Source organism: Homo sapiens, chromosome 2, assembly GCF_000001405.40.
Source record: "Homo sapiens chromosome 2, GRCh38.p14 Primary Assembly".
NCBI classification, from domain to species: domain Eukaryota; kingdom Metazoa; phylum Chordata; class Mammalia; order Primates; family Hominidae; genus Homo; species Homo sapiens.
Genome location: NC_000002.12, coordinates 163,727,116 through 163,748,953, shown reverse-complemented (window position 1 = coordinate 163,748,953; position 21,838 = coordinate 163,727,116). Strand labels below are relative to the sequence as shown.

The window sequence follows — 21,838 nt, the reverse complement described above, 5'->3', positions numbered from 1 at the left end:
CCTGCAGTGAGCCGAGATAACGCCACTGCACTCCAGCCTGGGTGACAGAGGGAGGTCCTATCTCAAAAAACAAACAAACAAAAATTAACTAAAAATAAAAAATAAAAAAAATTACATATTTTGAATCATAGCCCAAACCAAGAATAAAATATTAAATAATAGACCTTTGGTCTTTGTGTTCCCTCACCCTCATCAACTTAATAAAAGGTTGACATTTTTTTAAAAAGGTAGTCAAGATCTACCAGTTAAACTGAACAATAAACAGGAACTCTATTGCACCACCATGTTTCAGCTTGGCTTTACAGGATGAGTGAGTAACTTCAGATCTGATTAGGATGGGAAATTTTGCCTGGACAGGTCTGAAAAGTATTGAGCAATTTCCTCACCATCATCACACTAATTCTAGGTATGAACATACTAGAGTGAAGCTCAGTAAAGCAAAAGGACCACTAGAAGTGAGAGGGGCAGGTGCACTGCATAATAAGAAGTGCAAGGACTTTGCAGCAAGATAGAACTGGGTAGAATTCCTACCTCTACAACTTACTAGATTTCTGTCCTTACTGCAAGCTATCTATCCTCTTTGAGACTCAGTTTCCTTACCTGAAAATTGAGATGATAAGTTTTTCCTCAAAATTGTGTGAAATAAATTAGGTAAAAAGCGCACTCAATGGATGACCCACAACAAATTTTAGTTTCTCATCCATAAAGATTACTTTTAGGATGTTGCAAATACAAACACCTAAATAATCAGCAGAAAATGGAAAAATCATAATGGAGATGTTTGTTGTTATGTTCAATACTGCTCTTTAACTGAACTATCTTTCAACAATTGGTTCTAAATATTATGCAGGCAAAATGTGTGAGAGCAATTAGTACTTGGTTCTTTTAGGATTTGATATGTTTCTCTCTAAAGATTTTTTTCAATCCCATGGGCTATTATGGTAGGTTAATAGAATCATATTTTGAGATATTAACTGATATTTCTTTCCCTGGACATCCCCTGCATTTTCTGTGCATCTATTACCGTGACCATATCAGTCCATATGGAATCATCTTCCAGGGGAGGATTTAAATGGCTAAGGAAAAAGAGTCAAAATCTCAACTTTGAGTTCTATTCATAAAGACAAATAACTTTAAAAAACAAGAAAAGAAGTACAAAGGATATAGAGAGAAAATTGTTTGAAAATGAAAAATTAAAAGCCCTAAGGATGTAAAGCACAGTTTATACCAAAAATAACGCTGTTGGAAAGAATAAAGGATAAAGTAAAAGATGATTTTTGGAATACAGAGAAAAGTGAAACAACTCAGAAACAGTCACATACCACATGTTCTCACATATCAGTAGGAGTTAAATAATGTGTACAGATGGATGTAGACTGTGGAATAATAGATATTGGAGACTCAGAAGGCTGGGAGGGTTGGGAGGTGAGTGAGGGCTGAAAAAATGACTTAATGGGTACAATGTACACTATTTGAGTGATTGTTACACCTAAAGCCCAGACTTTACAACTATGTAATATATCCATGTAACATAACTGCAACTGTACCCCTTAAGTTTATGGTTTTTTTAAAGAAAAGAAAAAAATCTCATTCAGATTGGAGTTATGAAAACAAATAGGAGACAGTGGTGGAAGGAGAGACTTGGACACAAAGGAGAGGGGAAGAATAAGGCTTAGCCATAAGTATGGGTTGCCCTCTTCCCCATCCTCTCTTTTTAAAGAAGCCTGTGTTAATTATAATGCCACTTGGGAATAGAAACAATGAGTTAGTAAGATGCCTTCAGGATTAGATCTGATGACAGATTCTCTGAGGTCAGACACCGAGCATGGTGTGGAAAAATATCCAAAAGATTATGAAGCTCCTAAGAGGGATGCAGAAAGGCTGAAAGAATTTCATTGGACTAGGATAAACATGCATTCGTATCCACGGGACACGCTGACTGGATGCATTTTGGATCATACAAGCTGAAGACCCACATGGTAGGACCATGGATACCTACTGCACATGTATCTGAGACAGAAGTTCAAGCGCCATGCCTGAGCCAAGTGAGTTACACCTCAGTGAAGACAGAATATGGCTGTGAACCACAAGCCTTCTTGTCAAAAACAGGATCTAGAGTACCCATCAAAAGAAAAGAATGGTAAGAGGAGATTCCAAAATTAACTGAATGTGTCTCCAAAGAAGACTGAGAACTAAAAAAAAAAAAAACTGAGAGGACCTTGAACTATCTAGGTTTCTGTTTTGACTACTAACAGCTGCTGGAGAGCTAAAGTTGGTGTTTATATTTTTTTGTCCTCAGATACTCTATTCATTGTGACACATAGCCAACAATATAGACAATATTATAATGACAAGAGTAGATATAATGCATGTTTAACTATGGCAAACATCAAGGATGCTTCTGTGATAGATGGAAGGGAGAATAAGGAAAGAAAGTTATTGCTCTGTCAGAAGAGGTACAAATAGCCTTCATTAAACAAGGGCTGACATGAGCATGCTGTGCAACTGTGTAGCTTTAAGCAGTATAGTTATGGTAATTAAAAGAATGATTTCTATTTTTAAAACAATATTTATAGGTAGATGTTTATTAAAGTTGAAGCCATGTTTCTATACATACATTTTAAATTATTCATGATTTATATGACTCTCCTCCCGTACCTCCTCCTCTTCGTCCTTTCCTTCTAGAAGGTAAACATTGGCAATGGCCCTATAAAAATGATTTGAAGTGAAAGCTGCCATAATTTTTTATCACTGTCTTATCAATACAGTGATGTGACATTTTATAAGTTTAAGTTCAGTATCATCACAGGTAAAGTTAAGTCTTTATTTAAAATTTCCAGAATCAATAACTGAGCCTGGTAACATGGCCCAATATTTCAGTTCTTTTCTGGTGCAACATTGCCTATACCATATCCTTTCTGCTGCATTTTAAAATATTATTTCTTATCTCCAAGGAGCTAAAAATGGCTAGCTGGAGTATCAGGAAATACCTTGCTTTTTCCTCTTTAGCTGTTTCTTCTTCAGGTAGACTTAACTCCATTCATTCATTTAGTCATTCATTATTGTGTCTACCATATATGCCAGTTCAAATGATTTATTATTTTAATTTTTTGAAAGTTTATGTTGAAATATTTATTTTACTATTATATGTGGCCAGAGTCTCTATGATTTGCTTAAATTGGAAGCATTTAAACACTTTAATCAATTTTGAGAGTAATAGTTTCCACATCCCAAGGTCCTGATTGCTTCTGAAATGATGGGCTCATAGCTATGCTATGAGCCACAGAAACATGCAAAGTAGGTTCTCAAAATTAAGATATAAATTAGATTATTAAAAAAGCTCAGAGCTAGACAGTGGGCTAAAAAGTATTATGAGTATTCTGATAGGCTCTATTTGTTACTCAGATGCAAGTCGAATGGTACAATCATTTTCATGGTGTGGTGCAACAATTCCAGAGGGTAACATTCACAACAACCATGGCAAAAATGGAATTCCTGGTATTATGCATAATAATGATTCTACACAGCCATTCTGCAAACTCCACCACTACCACTTCCACCACCTCTGTCCCTTCTTTCGTCAAATATATTTGTGTGCTTACTAATAGGTGATCCCTTTCCCAGTATTCATCAGGCCAGTCTTGGTGGTCTCACTCCCCTTGCCATCACAGTTTAAAAATGTGACCCAACAAGGGTGAGAATAAATCCCCTGATGGCTTCTGGATAATGGTTTCCCTTACAAAAAAAGAGACATAGAGCAAGACAACACTCCTCTTCTTCCATTGGATGTAGTCTTGTCTCATGTGATGTTTGAAGCTGTTGCACCCATAATGTGGAGTAAAAATCACCAAAATATTCAAGATAGTAGAAAAGAAACCCAGGAACTTCCCTACCCTTATATTTTTATTGAGAGATAAATAAACCCCTTAGTTCTTGAGCTACTGTTAGTTTCTCCTTCTCTTACTTGCAACCAAAAGCATCCTTAATGAAAGCCACGAATTTGGCTACTGCATTTATGAGTATGGAAATGAAAAAGAATTGTGTTACTTCTTGTCATATCTTCTGACCAGAAAATACAAAATGAAACAAAACAAATCCAACCTTCTGGTGTTTCCACCAGTCTCACTATGGGACTGCAAGTCACTGCCTCTTGGTTTACAAAGGACATAATTAACATTTGGTGTTTACCAGTTGTTTTGGGGAGGTGGAGAAACAGTAGTAAATAAATTAACTTGGTTTTTAAAAATTAATTGGCTGTGATACTTGGGAGATCACAATATAGTATGGACTCCTAAAACACAGTTGATCCACTTGGTAATTCTGTGTGGATCTAGGGATTTATTTTTCTGTACCTGTATAACTGCCTTTCTCAATACCTGAGGCTCTCTTCACCTCTCTTTACCCAGATAGTTGGAAATCTGATTGTTGTGAGTATGACACCTGTGCGTATGACTCCACATGGAAAAAAAAAAAAGATAATATTTAGAAAGTGCAGCCAGATTTCTCAGAGGTGATACAGCCCAGACCTTGTCACTTTTGGAAATGATAATAATAAACACACTCGAAGCAGGGCACTTATTTTTATTTATTTATTTCATAATTTCAACTTTCATTTTAGATTCAGGAGCTACATGTGCAGGTTTGTTACATGGTTATATTTCATGATGCTGAGGTTTGGGATACAAATGATGCTGTCACCCAGGTAGTGAGCATAGTCCCTAACATTTAGTTTTTCAACCTTGCCCCTTTCCCGTCCTCCTCCTCTTATAGTCCCCTGCATCTATTATTGCCATATTTATGTCCATGAGTTCCCCATGTTTAGCTCCTACTTATAACTGACTACATATAGTATTTGGTTTTCTGTTCAGCAGGGCATGTTAGATAGCAGACAGATTGTACTTAAATATGCCTTTTTCTGATTACCTGTAAACCTATGCTAATGAGGATGGACGCCTAACACTGCAATCTATTTGTTTGTTTAATTTAGGTTGAGAGTCATTATTCCTATCTGTTGCCAACTAATAGGAAAGAGTACAAAAAAGGAGAACTTTTCAGTTATAAGGCTCAAGTCAACCAACATCAGGTCACTTGATAATGGTAGACCTGGCAGGGGTCCAAGGCAGGGGATCCTTCAAATATATTGTGGATGTCTTCACTCCTGTGATGGCTGTGAACTGTGGTGGAGCATCTATGTATCAGCAAGAAGGAGAGAAGAAAAGCATCAAAAAAGAGAAAGTGAATGGATATTACTTTCTTGGAAAAAAACACAGTATTTAGTGTTCTCAAAAGGAGAATTTTATTTTTCTTGTTTTAAATAATAATAATAAAAAAACCCGCATGGCTTGTGGCCTTAAGGAGAGAAGCACAGGTACAAGGCTGCTTTTGTACTCTATTAAGGTTGAGATTAAAGTCCCTACTGATAAACTGAACATTCTTTAAAAGTGACCAGAAGCAAACAGTGTCTGTTTGCTGCTACTTTATTACAAAGACACCACTGAGAATAGCTAAGAATATACTATTTGATCTTTAACAGGTTGACCAAATGATTGCAGTTGGCTCCAGTACATGAGATGCTTTCTGCAAATTATTGTTTCTAGTTATAAACCTTTATAATATCTCAGAATGAATTATGTATGTATTTCATGTTTTCTTTTCTGTTATCAGCCTTGATGTTCTCATTTCAAGTTTCACCCTAGCCTCCTAATAATGCAATATTGAGGCCATTCAGACACTAATTATGCCTCCGTGGCTTTTTTGAAATGACTAAATCAGCATCAGTTCTATAATTATCATTAGCAAGTTTGCATCAGTGGCTCACATCACTTGAAAAGCTCAACTTAAATGATTTGTGAATGTACTCATCTGATACATTGAACACTCTCCATAGATACAAACAGGTGCTTGCATATTGCTTTATGTAAAATGGAAAGTCTGCACATGCATATTGTATGAAATACATTTTCAATTCAATATTAAAATATTATTTCCATACTTGAAATATTAAGCTATATAGAGACACCCAAGATACCTGTGCTTTAAAAGCTCAGTTGGGGTGAGCAGTGTAAGGAAATAGAAAACTATTACTCATACTTAAGGCTAGACCTGATGTCTTCCTCATTTTCAGAATGTTCAAATAGGAATCTGGCAAGGATGATTGACAGGAAGAAGTATCCAAATGCAATTCATCTGTATTTTCATTGTTTCTATTCTTGAATTATTGATATTGCCAGTAGTCGTTTGCCATGAAAACAAATCAAAATACGTATGGTAAGCACTTACTTGAATGCAACACTTTTACATGTTAAAAAATATTTACAGTACACCATGCTTATAATTTAACAAAATGGCAAACTGGTAGGGAGAATAACTATAGCAAAAAAAAAAAAAAAGAGCATGGTACAAATTATAATCTTAATTCTATGACTCAATGTATAAATGTCGTATGAGAAAATATTACAGGAGAAGAAAACAGCTACTGAGAGGAGAAACCGTGAAGATTTCTTTGTATCTCTTAGAAAGGAAAAGACTCACCTTAAACAGGGAAAACCTGATAAGAATTTATGAATTTAGGTCTCTTTAGGAATAGTGGAACATATATGAAAAGCTAAGCCATTGTACTTCCCAGTGGCAATCACTTTATATATGTATACACACACACACAAACACACACATATATATATGGTTTTTTTCACACTACCTATTACTAGATCCTTGTTTGTAAAAAAAAAAAAAAAAAAAAAAAGAAAGAAAGAAAGAAAAAAACTTGTGCCAGGCTGTAGTATTTTATGACCTACATTATTACCCTCTGGGTAGTGAAATGATGGTGCCAAACTAATTATTGCTTTGTCTAATTTTAAATCCAGGTCTACGGAGATTAACAGCTTGCACATTAATTCAAAGCACCAACAGCCCACCTAACCTAATGCTGTTTTAAATGAATTAAAAGCCCTGTTTAGGAAACTTTAATACTTTAATATACTTTAAATGAAGGAAATGTGCATCTATATTTTTATTCAGTTTATAAAAACCAAATTCACTTTGCTTATTTTGCTTGTTCAAACATACTCCAGGGAGGAACTTTCTTTATCTTCAGGCATTACTTCTCTTGAAAATGAAATATCTTCTAAGCTTGAAAGCACGGTCTGAGTGGAACTAATTGTAAAGTGGGGGTGGTAGTGGGGAGAGAGAGGCAGCGTGAGTAGAAAGACCATGTTCAGGTAGAGGGAAAAAATTCAATTTCAACGTATTGTCCCTTTTTATATCTTTGACATTAAATGAATGCCTTTAAACACACTGACATTTTGTAATATTACAAAATGAACGTGCAGAATTGAGCAATCAATACAAACAGATCATCTATAAAAAAGGCAAGGAAGCATATCACCAAACCTACAAGAAGGACTCACAGTTTGGGGGACTAGAAAATGCTAGACCATTGCAATAACTTCCCTCCTGGTCTCCCCATTTTCAGGTCTTTTAGCTCTATCTTCTTAAAGCAGGGTTCAGCCCACATAAATCGCTTTCTTACAAACCTTCCAGCACTTTCTGTTAACTGCCTACTGAAATGAAAACCTCTCAGGCTGGGACTCAGTGAAGTTCCTCTGCAATACATCCCCAATTCTCATTTCCATCCTTATTTCCCATTCTGTGCCTGTGGAAAGCAAAGGGTCAACCAAACTAGATTATATGCTATTTTGGGCAAATACTTCTACAGTTTCCTTTCAATTTGTCTTTGCTCATATCTATTTCCTCTACTTGTCAATTCATTAATTTCCCCAGTAAGCATGTATGTTGAATTATCCCAATTAATTTAGGCATGGAGGAAAAACAAAGATGGAAGATAATTGCCTGCCCTCAAGAAGCTCAAAATCTAATGCAGGAGTGAAAGACATGAACACCCTTAAAATGATGTGAGGGTACAAAGAGAGAAAGAGAAATAGAGTCCAAACAGGGGAAAGATACTTAAGTGCCTCTAGGAAGGTTGGGGTGTGGGTTGGAGGAGCTAAGTGCTGAGTGTCTTAAGGGAGTTCGCCCACAGAAGCGGAGAGGAAAAGTCAATTCAGGCAGGGGGCACACTGTCAAGCAAGGCATAGAGAGGAAAAACAGCACAGTTTATGCAAACTATAAGTGGTCTGTTTTATTGGTGCATAACAATTGCTATGAGAAGGCCAAGTGTGGGGGCTCACTTCTGCAATCCCAGCACTTTGGGAGGCCAAATCAGGAGGATCACTGCGGTCTAGAAGTTTGAAACCACCTTGGGCAACAGAGTGATATCTGTTCTCTGCAACAAATAAAAATTAAAAAAAAAAAAAAGAATAGATTGCTGTGACAAAGTCTAGAAAAACTGTCCTGTCCTTCACAAAAGAACTCACAATTTCCTCTAGACAGAACTCCTTTATAACTGCACTTTCTATCATTCACTTTGGGCTATATTTATCTGGCTTCATCCATAAAATGTTAAGGTCACTTTTCTTCAAATCCTCTGCAATTTGTAGTGTAGTACTTTTAATTATATTAAGCATTGAATACTTTCTAAATGAAATTGAGAACCATGCAAAATCAGGCAAAAGTTCCAGCAAATATACACACACTATAAATATATGTGAATTTAAAAATGTAATACTCAGGTTAATAGAAGAAAGCAAAACATCTTAAGTGAACCCATCACAGGATTTTCCAGTTTGTCTCTACTGTAGAGCTAGATCACTGAGGAGATGTATGAACCACACTAATATCCTTTGACAGTACCTGCATTTGAGTGTCATTCTGAGCAAATTGAGTAATTTTACTCAATGAGGTCATGATCTTCACTAGCTTTTGTGGTTTTTTTTCTTTCTTTTTTTCTTTTTTTTTTTTTAGGGGAAAGGGTGGTACATAAGGACTTCTTAGTAACTTTATTGAAGTGAAAATCATGACCCTTATACTGCAATTTTATGGAAGCATTAAAAAATTATCTTGTCACTAATTTGCATTATTGTAAGAACTACCTCAGATTTTTGTGAGTAATATGAAAGAAAAAGTCTAGTTTCATAAACAGCTACTAAGTTCTAGAATGTGTTTTGAAACCCAGGAGTTTGGAAGAATATATTATTAGTTTAATGTTTTATTAAAATATTTAACATTTAAGTTCAAAACTAAAAAACAATATTTGAAAAATTAAATTGAATTGCGTTTAGCATTTTATGAAAAACTATACATGATAGCCCTCCAAACTTCTTTCCTTAAAGCATCTTGTGACCTACATCTCCCTCATCTTTTCTACCCGCTGTCTACCTTCTGCCTCCACTGATTTTTTTTCCTTTCCTTTCCTCTCCCATCACTTAGGTAAAGCACATCTCTGTGTCCAGCCTAGCTCATATTTTCCTTAGTCCAGTGCAGACAAGTCTATGGTCATTTGCAAAATCACATTCAGTATCACTTTGCTTATTCCCTTAACCTTCACTTTTGTTGTTGTTGCTTACATTATTTTGAGAAGAAAAAGCAGAAAAAAGTAGAATTCCCCTCTGAATTATCTTGAAAGGAAGGCATACACACACACACTCCTGAAGAAGAGTTATGTTGATTTTTCTTCTGATTTTCTTAAAAAGCACAAGTTTGAGTATACTGTGTATTAGAATTTCACATATTAGTCAAAATGTTATGCATTATAATGTCTGTGCATTTAAAAAGTAAAATAGAAAGAGAAATGATATTGCTAATAGAGTGGGAAAAATTAGTCAAATTTATTATTTTCTGAAATAACTGTTTCCCTGACTAGCCAATCAACTTCCTTTAAACACTCAATATTTAATTCTCATGTTATATCAAGAAGTTTCAAAAGATATTATAGAGATGGATGTCAGCTACAGCCAGAAACATTTCTTTTGATTAAAAGTTTTGAAGATAAATGCATACAGAATATGATGACTGTTAAAGTGCTTTTTAATCATACCACATAATTAAAGATAGTTTTATTAAAACAACAAAAACTGAACATCGCAAACAATGCCATGAATCTCTGTGGAAAAGAAAGTCAAGTTTTATTTTCCTTTGCTTAAAATAATTGGAGAAAAGCAACTTTTACCTATACTTAAAAAAAAAGGGAGAAATAGTGCAATGACGAACTCTCCTGTGTATCTTATTATTATGGAAGTCCCATAATGTATATTCTATTATGTAAGTGTCTTTTATTCCCAGAGTATATGTAATTTTGAACAATTTAGAAACTCTGTACCTCTATCCAGTGCTCTTTTGAACAGTTTTCCAATTATTTGATTCCAAAGTTAATTATATTTATTTGCATGTTGAATGATTTTTTTATAATGTGTATTTCAAATGAATCTATAAGGGAATTGGAAAGGTACAGTTATTATCTATTAATAAACTCTTGCTGACCACACTTTTTCCTCCTCTTTTTAAAGAGCAGGGGTTGTTTTATTTTAGATATTACAGATGAATGGCTTTAAGTCTGTCATCAAAATACATTGTTTTTATATTCAGTGGGCACTGTATTATATATTTTATTCACTATTTGAATTTACACAAGGAACTGTAAATTCAACGCTAGGATTTAATGTTAAAGGTTGATGAGCTCTGAACTTTTTTAACAAACAAGAACAGAGCAGTTTTGCCCGAATTGCACAGAGCATCTGCTGTGTGTCCAGAGGACTTTTGGTCGTCATTCCCCAAATGGGCAATAACTGCGATTATGAGCGCTTCACAGTTTTTTTTTTTTTTTTTAATTCATCTGTACTCAATCCAACAGTGACCCACAGATATTTCCCTACACTTATTTCTTTGTGGTAAAATCCAATGAACAACTTTTCGTAATATCATTTTCAAAGCCATCTTGTAAAATATAACTAAAGAGGTTTCAGTGTTCTCTGTTACATCAGAATAAAGTTCTTCTGTTTTATTTCGAAGACTCCTTTTTTAAAAAATTCACAGAAAGGTCAAATCCATTCCAAATAGAAATCTCATTGCTTAGAAATATTTCTTAGGATCTCGAATCACTCTTTTTTTGTCTTTTAAATTCTGTCATCTGCCTAGATTTAACTGAAATAATTTTTATTTCTCAGTGTGTTAGCTAAAGGCATCCATTCAAAGGTAAGAACATCATAAAAGGTGAATGGAATTAATTTCAAAGTATATATTTGGCATTTTTAAAGAGCTGCATTTCAGCATCTGGAGAGCTGCAATTTAGGCTATCAAATCTACAACAGAGAAGCTGGGGGAAATGTGAACACCCTTATGAGGAGGGTCAGTCCTCAGCAAGTGCATTTTCGGTTCCAACCTTCAAAGGTAACATTTTCAGCTTGATGGGCTCCTGGTGGAATATATAATTTGCCTCTTTCATTCTTAGCTTCGTTGAAATATAGAAGACTGGATGTCTACCAGGCCAAAGTATAAACTCACCATTTATCTATTAAAGTCATATTTAATGAAAACGAAGAGAAATTATGACCCAATTCACTCTCTTTCTCATTACAATTCCTAAAGAACTTTGCCGGGCACATTATCTCGTAGACATCATGATCAAATGTTATTGTTTGCTTTATTATCTCAGTTGGATGGTTGGCTAGTCTAGAATGAAATAGGTTGAAGGCAATACTCTCAGCCTAGAAGTCTGAATGAGGTTCCCATTCAAATGATCCTGATTGTTTGCGGGTGGGGCGGGGTGATTAGTAAACCAACTGAGCTTACACTGCATAGTAAGCGTCTGGATGCCGCACATTTACATCTAACAAGAGACCCCAGAAAACGTGTGTGTGTTTCTTAAACCTTATGTTCCGAACAAAAGGCTATCTCAGCAACAGACAATCAGCACTGCATTGCTCCCTGGGATGCGAGCAACACACTCAACTGCACATTTCATTCTTCCTCGGCTCCCAGCACCACAAAGCCCCTACTCTCTTCCCACTCCTGGGTCCCCAGATTACTCCATAGAGGGGGGTTGGGAAGGCAGAAGCCTAACGTCTATGCCTGCGCACCAGCCGCCGACACCAGGGCCCCCCGGGCGCTGCTTTCTCCAGCCCGAGCCGCCTGGGGGAGGTAGGGAGGGGAGCCAGGGAGCGCGAGAGGGGACCGCACACCTAGACACTTAGGATTTTATTTATTCACAGGGAGGCGGGGGAGGGGAACTGGGCGAACGCGAATTTTCTCCCCGAAGTTGCCTCTTCTAAGCAGATCAAGTCGTTTTCTGGCTGGTGCTGGGGGCCCCGGGGAGGGTGCCGGTGAGGTCCAGGCTCTCGAGACCAGATCCCGTCCCGTGCGCAGAGGGGGTGGGGAAGGGCGGACGGGCCGCAGCTGTCGAGAGGGCCGGGAACCGGCAGGGAAGAGCCCGCGGGCCGGGGAGCAGCGCGGCTCTGTCCCGGGCCCTCCAACGCAGGCCGGGGAGCGCAGGGGCCGGCTGGTCACGCGTGGGAAAGAAAGCCCCCTTCCCCCTACGGCGCTGCTCCCCTTTCCCCAGGCTGGGCCGCCAGAGAGTGCGTGCAGGGAGAGCTGCGAGTCCCCGCGCGCGTAATCATGACCTCGGGGCCCCCTCCGGGCCGCGTGAGCGCATCGGCGAGGCTGGGCGGCCGCCGCGGCCCCGGCCGTGTAACATGACCCGAGCGGCCGGCCGGCCGGCGCGGCGCGGCCATTGAGCCCTCCCTGCCCATGAATCTCTGGCGCGTCTCTAGCTCGCTCGCCGGCTCGCCTCCCGCCTCCCTTTCTCCCCCTCCAGCTCCGCGGGCTCCGTGCGCCTCTCCCTCTCCCTCCTGGTCCTCCCGCTGCCCGTCTCTCTCCACTGCCCGCCTCTCGCCACTGCCTCCCGTCTTCTCTCCCTCACGGCAGCCTCCGTCTCTTTCTCCCTCTCTCCTTTGAAAACTGATCTTTGGCTCTTAGTGTGAAAGTGATTTGAATTTGGCTCTGCGGCGCTCTGCGCCTGCGCCCAGCCTCTGGCATGCTGGCTCCTTCCAAGCAGCTGTTTTGGGTTTGAAATTCCAACATGGCAGAGGCTGCAGTCCGTCTTCCCTTCAAAAACTTGGAATGATTTCAAATCATAGGCACCTTCACTTAACCCTAGCTTCCATTCATCAGCAAACACATCGGATCGATGCTACGCTAACCTATCGGGTTCTCTCTCCGCGCGTTCAGGTAAGAGGAGCTTCGTAGTTTTCTACCATCTGTTTAAATTTGTTTTTGTTTTATTTTTAAAGAATATAAATACATCCAAGACCTGTAATTAAAAGAGATCTTCAGTTGTGCCGTAAACATTAAATTCAATTTCCACTCGTTTCTATTCTGTACGCCAACCTGCTGTCTAATTTCTCTGTTCAAAGTAGCCCTGAAACATTATAATGCATATTTTTGCTGCTTAATCATTGTAACAATAGTATGGGATTAAGAGTTCGCGATTGCAAGAATCTCGCTTTTCGCTATATTGGGCTTACTTATTACTATCTTTTTACTTCAAAAATAAAAAAATAAGAAAGCGGAGCCATAGGGTGGGGCTAGACTTTCTTCGGGAACTAACTTCTAAGTAAATAAGAAGTGTAAATAAGAATCTTGCACACACACAAAAAGTTGAGGTTAAATTACAATCTCGTGGCTGGGGGAACGAGAAAATGTCAGAAGATCGGTTGCAGAAAAATGTAAGCACATCATCTAGGAGGGGGTACAGCGTGGTGGGCGTATTGTTGGCAAGGAACGGGAGAGAAAGATGTATAATTTAATGGTATATACAATCCACTGATCCTATTACCGTCCTCCCCGGAGCTCTTGTTAGTTTCAATGGGAGTGAGTGAAATTGACATGGACTTGCATTCCTGGTCATGTGCTTTTTTTCCTTTCTTTCTTCTCCTGTGATCTGAGATCCCCTTTTTGTTGATGTTGCTTTCCCCCTTAATTATATGCATGTAGGTTAAATGAATACCTGACGAAAGGGCCCACGTTTCAAGGCAGTGACATTTGATAGCTGAGAGGAAAAGTGGCTTTAATGAAAAGCAACCTTTGGAATTCCTGCTTGTGAGAAATCCAATTCAGCTTTTTGTGCTGCCAGCAAGAAATGATCAGTAGCACCAGTGTTTATGGTATGTCAGTTTTGGAATTTACTTCCTTTGCATCTAAATAGGAAAGACAAATGAAATAGCATGATAAAACCATTGAAGACTGCCTGGCAAGCAGTTGCTCATGATATAGAATTCCTTTTTTTAAAAAATATATGTTTAATGTCACCATGCTTTTTTTTCTTTTGCTATCACTTGTTTGTATATTGCAGTTTTGATTAATATATTACTTGAATCCACTTTTATCGGTTTTAGCTGTCATCCAGAAGTTGCACGTTACTAGTAATGCACTATATATATATAACTGCTGAAGTCAAATAGTATGTAAATTAGTTAAACTCAGTGTGGGTTTTTTTTTTTTTTTTTTTTGAAGGAGGGAGGCTGGGCAAAGGGGAGAGGGCAGGAGTGTTGGGAAAGATTACTAACTAATGAAAGTGTATCTATATATATGTACACACACAGGAACAGGACTGGATGAAAATTTTATTTTTCTCAATCTATTAATGCAGTTTGACTATCTGCTCTTGATGTTTGCACTTTGTGGAGTAATCAGTTCTTCTGAGTGTGGTTTTTTTTTGGGGGGGGCGGGTAAGTGAAGAGGTGTCTTTTACATGAAAATAAAAATTATATTTTGATTGTCCAAAGTCCTTGATGTCTTTTAAAGAGTAGGGATAGGTTTTTCTTCCCCCTTTCCATTCACTCGTCTGCCTGTCAGCGCTTTTTACTTTTAACTTGTGACAGAATTAAATAATCAGGCACTGAAATTGACTTCGTTTGAAATCGCTCTTTCCTTTCTTTACAAAAAAAAAAAGTCAGTTAAATGGAGTGAGAGGGGATTTTCAATAGCTCTTGTGGCAGTGCCCTGTGTACACTTTGTAATATTCAATTAAGACAGAGGGAACAACAACAACAAAAAGATGTTAAAGTATTTTGCATAACCAAAGGATATGTCCACTTTAGACTGTTTTTTTTTTTTTTTTTTTTGGTTGTTGCTATGTTTACCCCATGACCGTTAATTCCTCCTGAAAAGAGAGAAAGAAGGAAAGAGAGAATATGAAAAAAGAAATAACAGTGGGGCAAAGCTGCCAGGGGTCTGTAGTGTGGCCGTGGTCACTGCTCTCTCCTAACACAAATGTGAATACGAAGAGAGGAACTACAAGACCCGTTGCGCGACATACACGTCTGGTTGGACTCTGGTGACTATTGAGCTAAATACACACCACACTTACACGATAGGAAAGATTTGATTGAATTTTGCATTTGGAACTTGTTGACTTTGAAGCGATCAATAAGAAGACTGTTTATTTTAGATGCACATAATTTGCCCTGAGAAATGTTTTAAGGAGGAGAGAGCACAGCTTTTTTTCCCCCGGAGCTGTTGGAGCGAATGGGATTGCCAGATGGGCGATTTCCCTCTGTGATGTTAAAGCTGTAATATATATTCAGAGCAGATTGGGCTGCTGCCTGTGATGAGGAGGATATTACATTTATAAATTTTAAATCGGAGCTCGGACAATGTGCTGAGAGCAGAAATTGGATGGTTTGACTGTTCACCGTATTGATACTTAAATGTGATTTCTAGGTAGTACTAATAATAATCATTGCAATAATTCATGAAAAACATACTGGCATAGGCAATTATATAATTCATGACATTTAACAGCAGATTTGAGTGTGTAAATTGCCCCCCTCTTAAGTCTCTGCTTACTATTAAATAATAGTCACATAATTCATTTCCCTATGTTTAAATGTCCGATGTGCAAATGATGTTAACTTAGGAGCCTTGTTATCATATATTAGAATTCTAGGGGTGAAAGTTTACATACATATATATAAAGTAGACACTTGTGTATATGTATAAAGTGGCGTTACTGGCTCTTGTTTTCTAATTCTTTACTCTGATTATTTTTAGATTTTGTTTGTCTCAAATGTGCGGCCTAAAGGAACCAGAGCTACAAACCTAAAAGACTAGAAAGTGGGCAAGTGCTCACACTCTGGCAGCTCTGCTGTTGCAAATTAAAAGTGTGTTGTGGTCAGGAAATGAAAGCTACAATGTCTCTTTTGAACAAGTCGTTTATCAAGAGAAACATCTATCAGGGACTGCCTTGTCACATTGATCCTCTAAAAGTTAGGTCCGAGGTGGAAGCTGCTTTGATGTTTTTGATCCTAAATTTAATACAACAGAAAAAAAGCAAGGATATTTTGACCAGTATAGATTTTTAAAAATGTTTCCTGGAACCAACAAGATCTATTTATTAGGATTTCACTATGTGTGAAGTTTTCTGGACGTAACAGTTGAAAGGTTGAAGGGGAAATCCCAGACTTTATAAATTGATGATTGTTAGAATATACATTTATAATATATTTAGTGATGGCTGGCTTCTTGGTGCACATGGAATGGACGTTTTGAACACAGATTGTTCAAAAGGAAAATTATTTTGAAAGATTATTTTGGAAGAATATGTAGAGAGTCAAGAGTTTTTCATTCAAATTTTAGTTATCCTCTTCTGTTCTTCCTCTCTTTTACTCCTTCATGCTTGTTTCTTATCTTCATTATATTTGTGACAAATTAGCTTTTATTTGGAAAAGAAACATTATTTCTACAAAAACCATGTCCCAAAACATGCTTGTACACATCGTCTCTATTGTTTATTAATTGTGCATGTTTATGGTTATCAATATAAACTGCATGGACACATAAGTCCTTTGGAATTTCAGCTTAAAAATAGAGGTATCAGATTAAACATGCTATGTGTTCTTGAATAATGAATATGTTGTATGCATTATTTAAAATTGAAAAGGTATTGTTAGGAAAATGACCAAGTTGAAACAAAATTGTGAAAGCAGTTAGAAGCAGCCTGCTTCATTTTGGGAGGCAAAGATAGGAAAGAAGTGTTTCTTCTTTAAAATAGAGTTTTTGGATACTTGTCTTACACTGCTGGAGGCAACTTGTTATTTCATGTGGGTCTATCATCAAATAAGCAGGGAAGAGTAGGGTGGGAGTTTTGAGAAGTGTAATACTTGCTAATTAATCATGTCTGAAATGAAAGAATCATAGCAGGGTAATAAAGTCTCATTGTTGTTTTCCTGGAAGAGGGTAAGACTTCTGTTTGGAAGCTGTATGTGTGAGTTGATTTGCTTTTCTCTTCTCCTAAAAACACAGTTTATAGGGTCTCTTTGGAATTATTTCAAGAAACATCTTTTTTTTTTTTCTGAAAATAGAGTATTTTTCTTTCTCCTGGCTGTATTTCATCAGTAAGATTCTTAAAACAGTATCTGATATCTTCTGAGTGAAAATAGGGGGTTTTATTCTTTAGTTATATTTAAGACTCCTGTAGCTGAGTTTCCAGGGCTGATATTTTTTTCCTTCCCATAAATAGAAAATATTTTTTGTTTTTGTTTTTATTCATGTTAGGCAGGAACTTTGAAAACCTTTTTGTAGGTAGTTACTTCTGATAGATATACAAGAGTGCAGAAATTTCATTAATTACTTTTAGATGATAATATAAGAGTGTAACCAGAGAGAAGAAAATAGGTAGTATTTCCAAGAATCTATAGAGACCATCTGTATTATTACTTTGCATTTCTAAGATAGTTTAAGATATAAACCACCTGAAAAGATAAATGGGTAATTTCATTATAGGTTAATTATTTTTTCCTGAGCTTCTGGTTGTCACCTTTTAGAATTTAGTATCTTACTCAGGACATTCATAGGGACAGATCCACAAAGTTTGAGAGTCTGCACTGTTTTTCAGAATGTTCATGTCAAGGTGAAGACAGCCATGCTAATACTTCCCTGTTTTTGTCTGTGTGAGTGTTTGGATGCCTTGAATGATTGCCTAATTAAGTAATCACTTTTAGTGGCCCAAAATCAACAGAATTACTAGATGTATTTGAAACAATTGCAGGCTTTTAAGGTTTGAACTTTCTAGTTCTTAGAACCTTGGTTTAATAGAAATAGAAAGGTGCTATTTTACCTTTGATCAATATATTCTTGAGTGCAGATTTCACATACTACTCTTTATAAAGTACTGTGTTCATTGTTGAAGAGCAAATAAATTTAATTACCAGGAATTTAAATTGATTTATAAATTTTTGATTGGAAGAAACTATTCTGCAGATGTTTGTGTGAAATATTGACATATGCTACTGATCGATAGAACTTGATTAATCAGCATATCTGCTGTTTTTCTTGAGTCATTGATAAACTAGAATAAACAAATGGTTCAGAAAAAGCTATAAATTTTAACTCTCAATAAAAAATAAATGTATGTGTCTTTCTTTTGAGATATACAAGAGCTAGTGTTTTATTGAAATCAACTGAACTTAGAAATTATTTGGGGGTACCACTTAGAAGCTTACAAGTCCCAAAATTCTGCCTTTCAATTCACACACACACACACACACACACACACACACACAAACACGGAGCAAGAGAGAGAGATTGTACCTATATTATTGTTTATTGAAAATGAAAGAATTTTTTTGACACACTGCAAATAAATGGCCAGTTTAGCAAGTGCTTTCCATGGTTGGATTTTGTCATTTTCTTCTTTTTTTCCTAAACTTGAATTTTTAGCATTAACTTTTTCATTTAACTTCTGGCAGAAATTTTAAGCATAGCTGCTTTGGTATGATTGCTGATTACTAATCTTTTTGATATTTTTGATGTTATCATTTAAATGGCAATTTTCTTTCAGAAATGTTTATTTTAAAAAGTAAAATAGCAGGAATAAGGAGTATGAAAGAATATACTCAAAATAAATGGTACATTGAAGTTCGAAGCAAATCAAAAGCAAGGGGTATGCTAAGTTTCCTTAGGGCAGCACCACAGGTGCCTGCTCAGAAGCGCTGCCTCAATACAGCACATCCGTAAGTACCTGTTGACAACAGTAGTCTTAGCTAAGATACTGAGGAGGCAGAAAAGATAGGTGATCAGAAACCATCAAAACATGAGATATCATATGGCACTTTCTGTTAATAATATTTACATATTTTATGCAACAAATCTGCTTGTTGTCTTGTTATTTGAATATTGACACTTTGCTTAACATTGCATATGGTGGGCTGTTGTTTCAGGGTGTATCAGAAGCAGTAAATCCAAAGGAGAATTTCAATTTAGATGTATTTATGTTAAATATATGTATAAATGGATATGTTTGCTCATATTTTAGCTCTCATGACTTTCACAAAGCATTTATAGTATCACTGCTTCCAATCATTTTTGAAACTGTTACATCTTGAAAGTAGAATGCATGATTTATTATATGAAGGCCCAAGGTTAAACGTTTTTTACCCTATAGCTCAGCTTAAGTATTGGTATTTTTGTGTTGGGAAATGTTTTTTAGAAAGTATGTTTTATAATTTTGGAAAATTTGCTTCTTACTAGGTTTCTGTTCTCATTTTCATAGGAAGAGGAGCTTTTAACCAAACAGTTATTAAGGATATATAATATACAGTAAAGTTTTTTATACTATAGAATATGAAATGTAAAATACCTATAAAATGTTTTCTTTTACCCCATTTCATTATGTTGAAAATACCTTTACTCTCTTTCTTTGCTATGTTTTAATTTCTGCTGGTATTTTACATACTTATTCCATTTTGCTTATGGATATATTCCTGGCATGAGAACAGAAACTGCATTTAACTCCCTTTAGCTATATATATATTTCATATATATTTCATATGTGTATGTAGATATATGAAATATATATGTGTGTATGTATATACCTATTTTGTTTTTCCCAATTCAACTGTTTGCCTTATGTCAACTGGATGCTTTTTAAACAACTGATAATTAAATGTCAACTATTTATGAGAGTAAACTCATCTGAGAATGGGTAAACTCTACTTTCATGCATTAGTTCATGATGAAATATTATTCTTGGAAATAGTAACATCTCAGATAAAATTTTAAAGGTAGTGCAATGTGAAGCCGTGGGTTTCTGTATGTCGTTCTAAACTTTTTGCTTATCTTTTGACTTACTATCCTCACCATTAAGAGACATTTTTACCTTCACCTAGGACCAGCTACATAATTTCTGAGACCCAGCGCAAAATTAAAATGTGAGGCATCTTGTTCAAAAATTAATTTGAAGACAGCAACACACAGCATTAAACAAAATGCAGGGCCCTGTATTGTGTGGTGGGGTGGGGGCCTGTGTGCCTGAACAAATGATGGGGCAATGAAGCCAGCCCTGCCTTCACCACCTACAGACTTTTATCTGGGGCCACCTTTGTAGAAGTCACTAGGTTTCCTATTGGAGACTGACTATTCCACAATGATTCCATCTGCCTCTGCCGAAAAAGATACTAATGAGAGTTGAGTAAGAAAACTGATGGGAAATGAACCATTAAGTATCTCCTGCTCTTTCTATATCTGAACTGGGGATTGAAATATTTGCTTTTGTCTCATCTTGCCCTGTGTCTCATATATCTCCTATATATCATGTGACTTTTTGCTCAAGTATTCTTAAAAGGAACTTTGTGTGTGTGTGTGTGTGTGTGTGTGTGTGTGTGTGTGTGTTTAATGGTTTGCATGCAGTTACATACTTCAATACTTATCCCAGGCCCAGAATAATTGTAGTAGTAAGAGCTTAGGAGGTTCTCTGTTGCCAAGTACTGCCACTATCCCTCCTCGGTTAAGGCACAAGAAAAATGAGTATTTTTATGTAGAAATCCTACATTATCTGATACAAAATGCTGACCATTAAAAAAACGAAAGTATGCTCATTGAGTGACAGGAAGGGGGGGGCAGACCCCCAAATAACCTTGTTATAATAGTGTCAGTATTGATACGTGGACATTAGAAAGTGGTATTTTAGCTATATAAACATGTGACAGCTGTGTTAAAGAGGAAAAGTAACCATTTCATGCGGTAACACTAATGTTGCAGTATGCTGTATTCAAATCCTGGACTTAGCTTCTCAATTTGTATTGCAATAACCTCCCTCTCCCTGAAAATTAGAGTCATATGACTCCTTTACCAACGTTCTGTGCTGATAGGTGGACAAAACATTTACATCGTTGCTTCCCAAAGTACTTCTCAATGAGATCAAACTTCATATTGCGATACCTAAAACTGAATTTTGAAGTCAAGTGGCTTTTTCAAATCAAAACTGAGATATGATGGAATGTCCAGCAAGTATGGATCTGAGTGCACTTGAAGTTGCACCATTTATTTTCAAAAGATATTTCTCACATCAGATGACTCTGCCAGGAAGGGAAATATCAAAGAGCTTGGAAAAAGTAACTATTCTTTTATGTAATCCAAGACTGGGGTGAAAGTGGGGGGCTTTAAAGATATTTTTGAGGAAGAAAAAAATTGAACTTATTTTGAATGCCTTGTTAGACTTTGTCGGGAGAAATGCTACATATGAGACTTTCTAAGAAGAAAAATCTTTGCCCTGTGTAATAACAAGGCATTGCTCTCCACACTGATAGGCACTTTAATGAAAGAAAGCTGGGAAATAACTATTATAACAGTGTCCCATTTAAGTAAAAATTTACCCCACAGTTTAGGAATATTTTTTTTTTTTTTAACTAAGCCATTGCAAACTTGAAATATTTTAGTAGGTAGTTAGCCACAATTCACATTTTCTAATGTTCTGTGTTCTATCTCCATATTCTGTAGTATAATTTCAACGGGGACTCATCTTTTCCTGCTTTACTCCTATACTTGGAATCTTGTATTTTCATATTAAATGTTTTGCTTTAAAAATGATTAAACTAGGAATCTGGGTAAATAAGTGGCAATATAGTATATTGTTGTGCCAAAAAGAGCTTTTTTATTTTTCATCTGTTCATTT

General features: G+C 36.6%; 1 protein-coding gene and 1 long non-coding RNA gene across 4 annotated transcripts in view, besides 2 other annotated features; both read left to right on the top strand.

Annotated features, from left to right (window-relative positions):
* Positions 11,307-11,822: an enhancer, noted in NCBI's record as "H3K27ac hESC enhancer chr2:164593642-164594157 (GRCh37/hg19 assembly coordinates)". NCBI's record gives its function as "activates a minimal SCP1, AML or CMV promoter by ChIP-STARR-seq in primed H9 embryonic stem cells {active_cell/tissue: H9 hESC(primed)}" and the evidence as "EXISTENCE:reporter gene assay evidence [ECO:0000049][PMID:30033119]".
* Positions 11,823-12,339: an enhancer, noted in NCBI's record as "H3K27ac hESC enhancer chr2:164593125-164593641 (GRCh37/hg19 assembly coordinates)". NCBI's record gives its function as "activates a minimal SCP1, AML or CMV promoter by ChIP-STARR-seq in primed H9 embryonic stem cells {active_cell/tissue: H9 hESC(primed)}" and the evidence as "EXISTENCE:reporter gene assay evidence [ECO:0000049][PMID:30033119]".
* The window catches only part of FIGN (fidgetin, microtubule severing factor), a 133,398-nt gene continuing 124,505 nt past the window's right edge, over positions 12,946-21,838 (top strand). The window contains exons 1-2 of one of the 3 annotated variants that reach the window (NM_018086.4): positions 12,946-13,116; positions 13,882-14,051. In NM_018086.4, coding sequence (NP_060556.2) covers positions 14,027-14,051 — 25 coding nt within the window. In that variant the 5' untranslated portion in view covers positions 12,946-13,116; positions 13,882-14,026. Of the gene's footprint in view, positions 13,117-13,881; positions 14,052-21,838 lie in introns of those variants that run through there. The other 2 variants (NM_001321825.2, XM_047444863.1) reach the window with 2 other exon arrangements.
* Positions 15,013-21,838, top strand: part of LOC107985957 (uncharacterized) — a 65,994-nt gene continuing 59,168 nt past the window's right edge. The window contains exon 1 of the long non-coding RNA XR_001739759.2: positions 15,013-21,838. This exon is cut by the window's right edge and continues 21,813 nt beyond it. This is a non-coding gene — a long non-coding RNA (uncharacterized LOC107985957).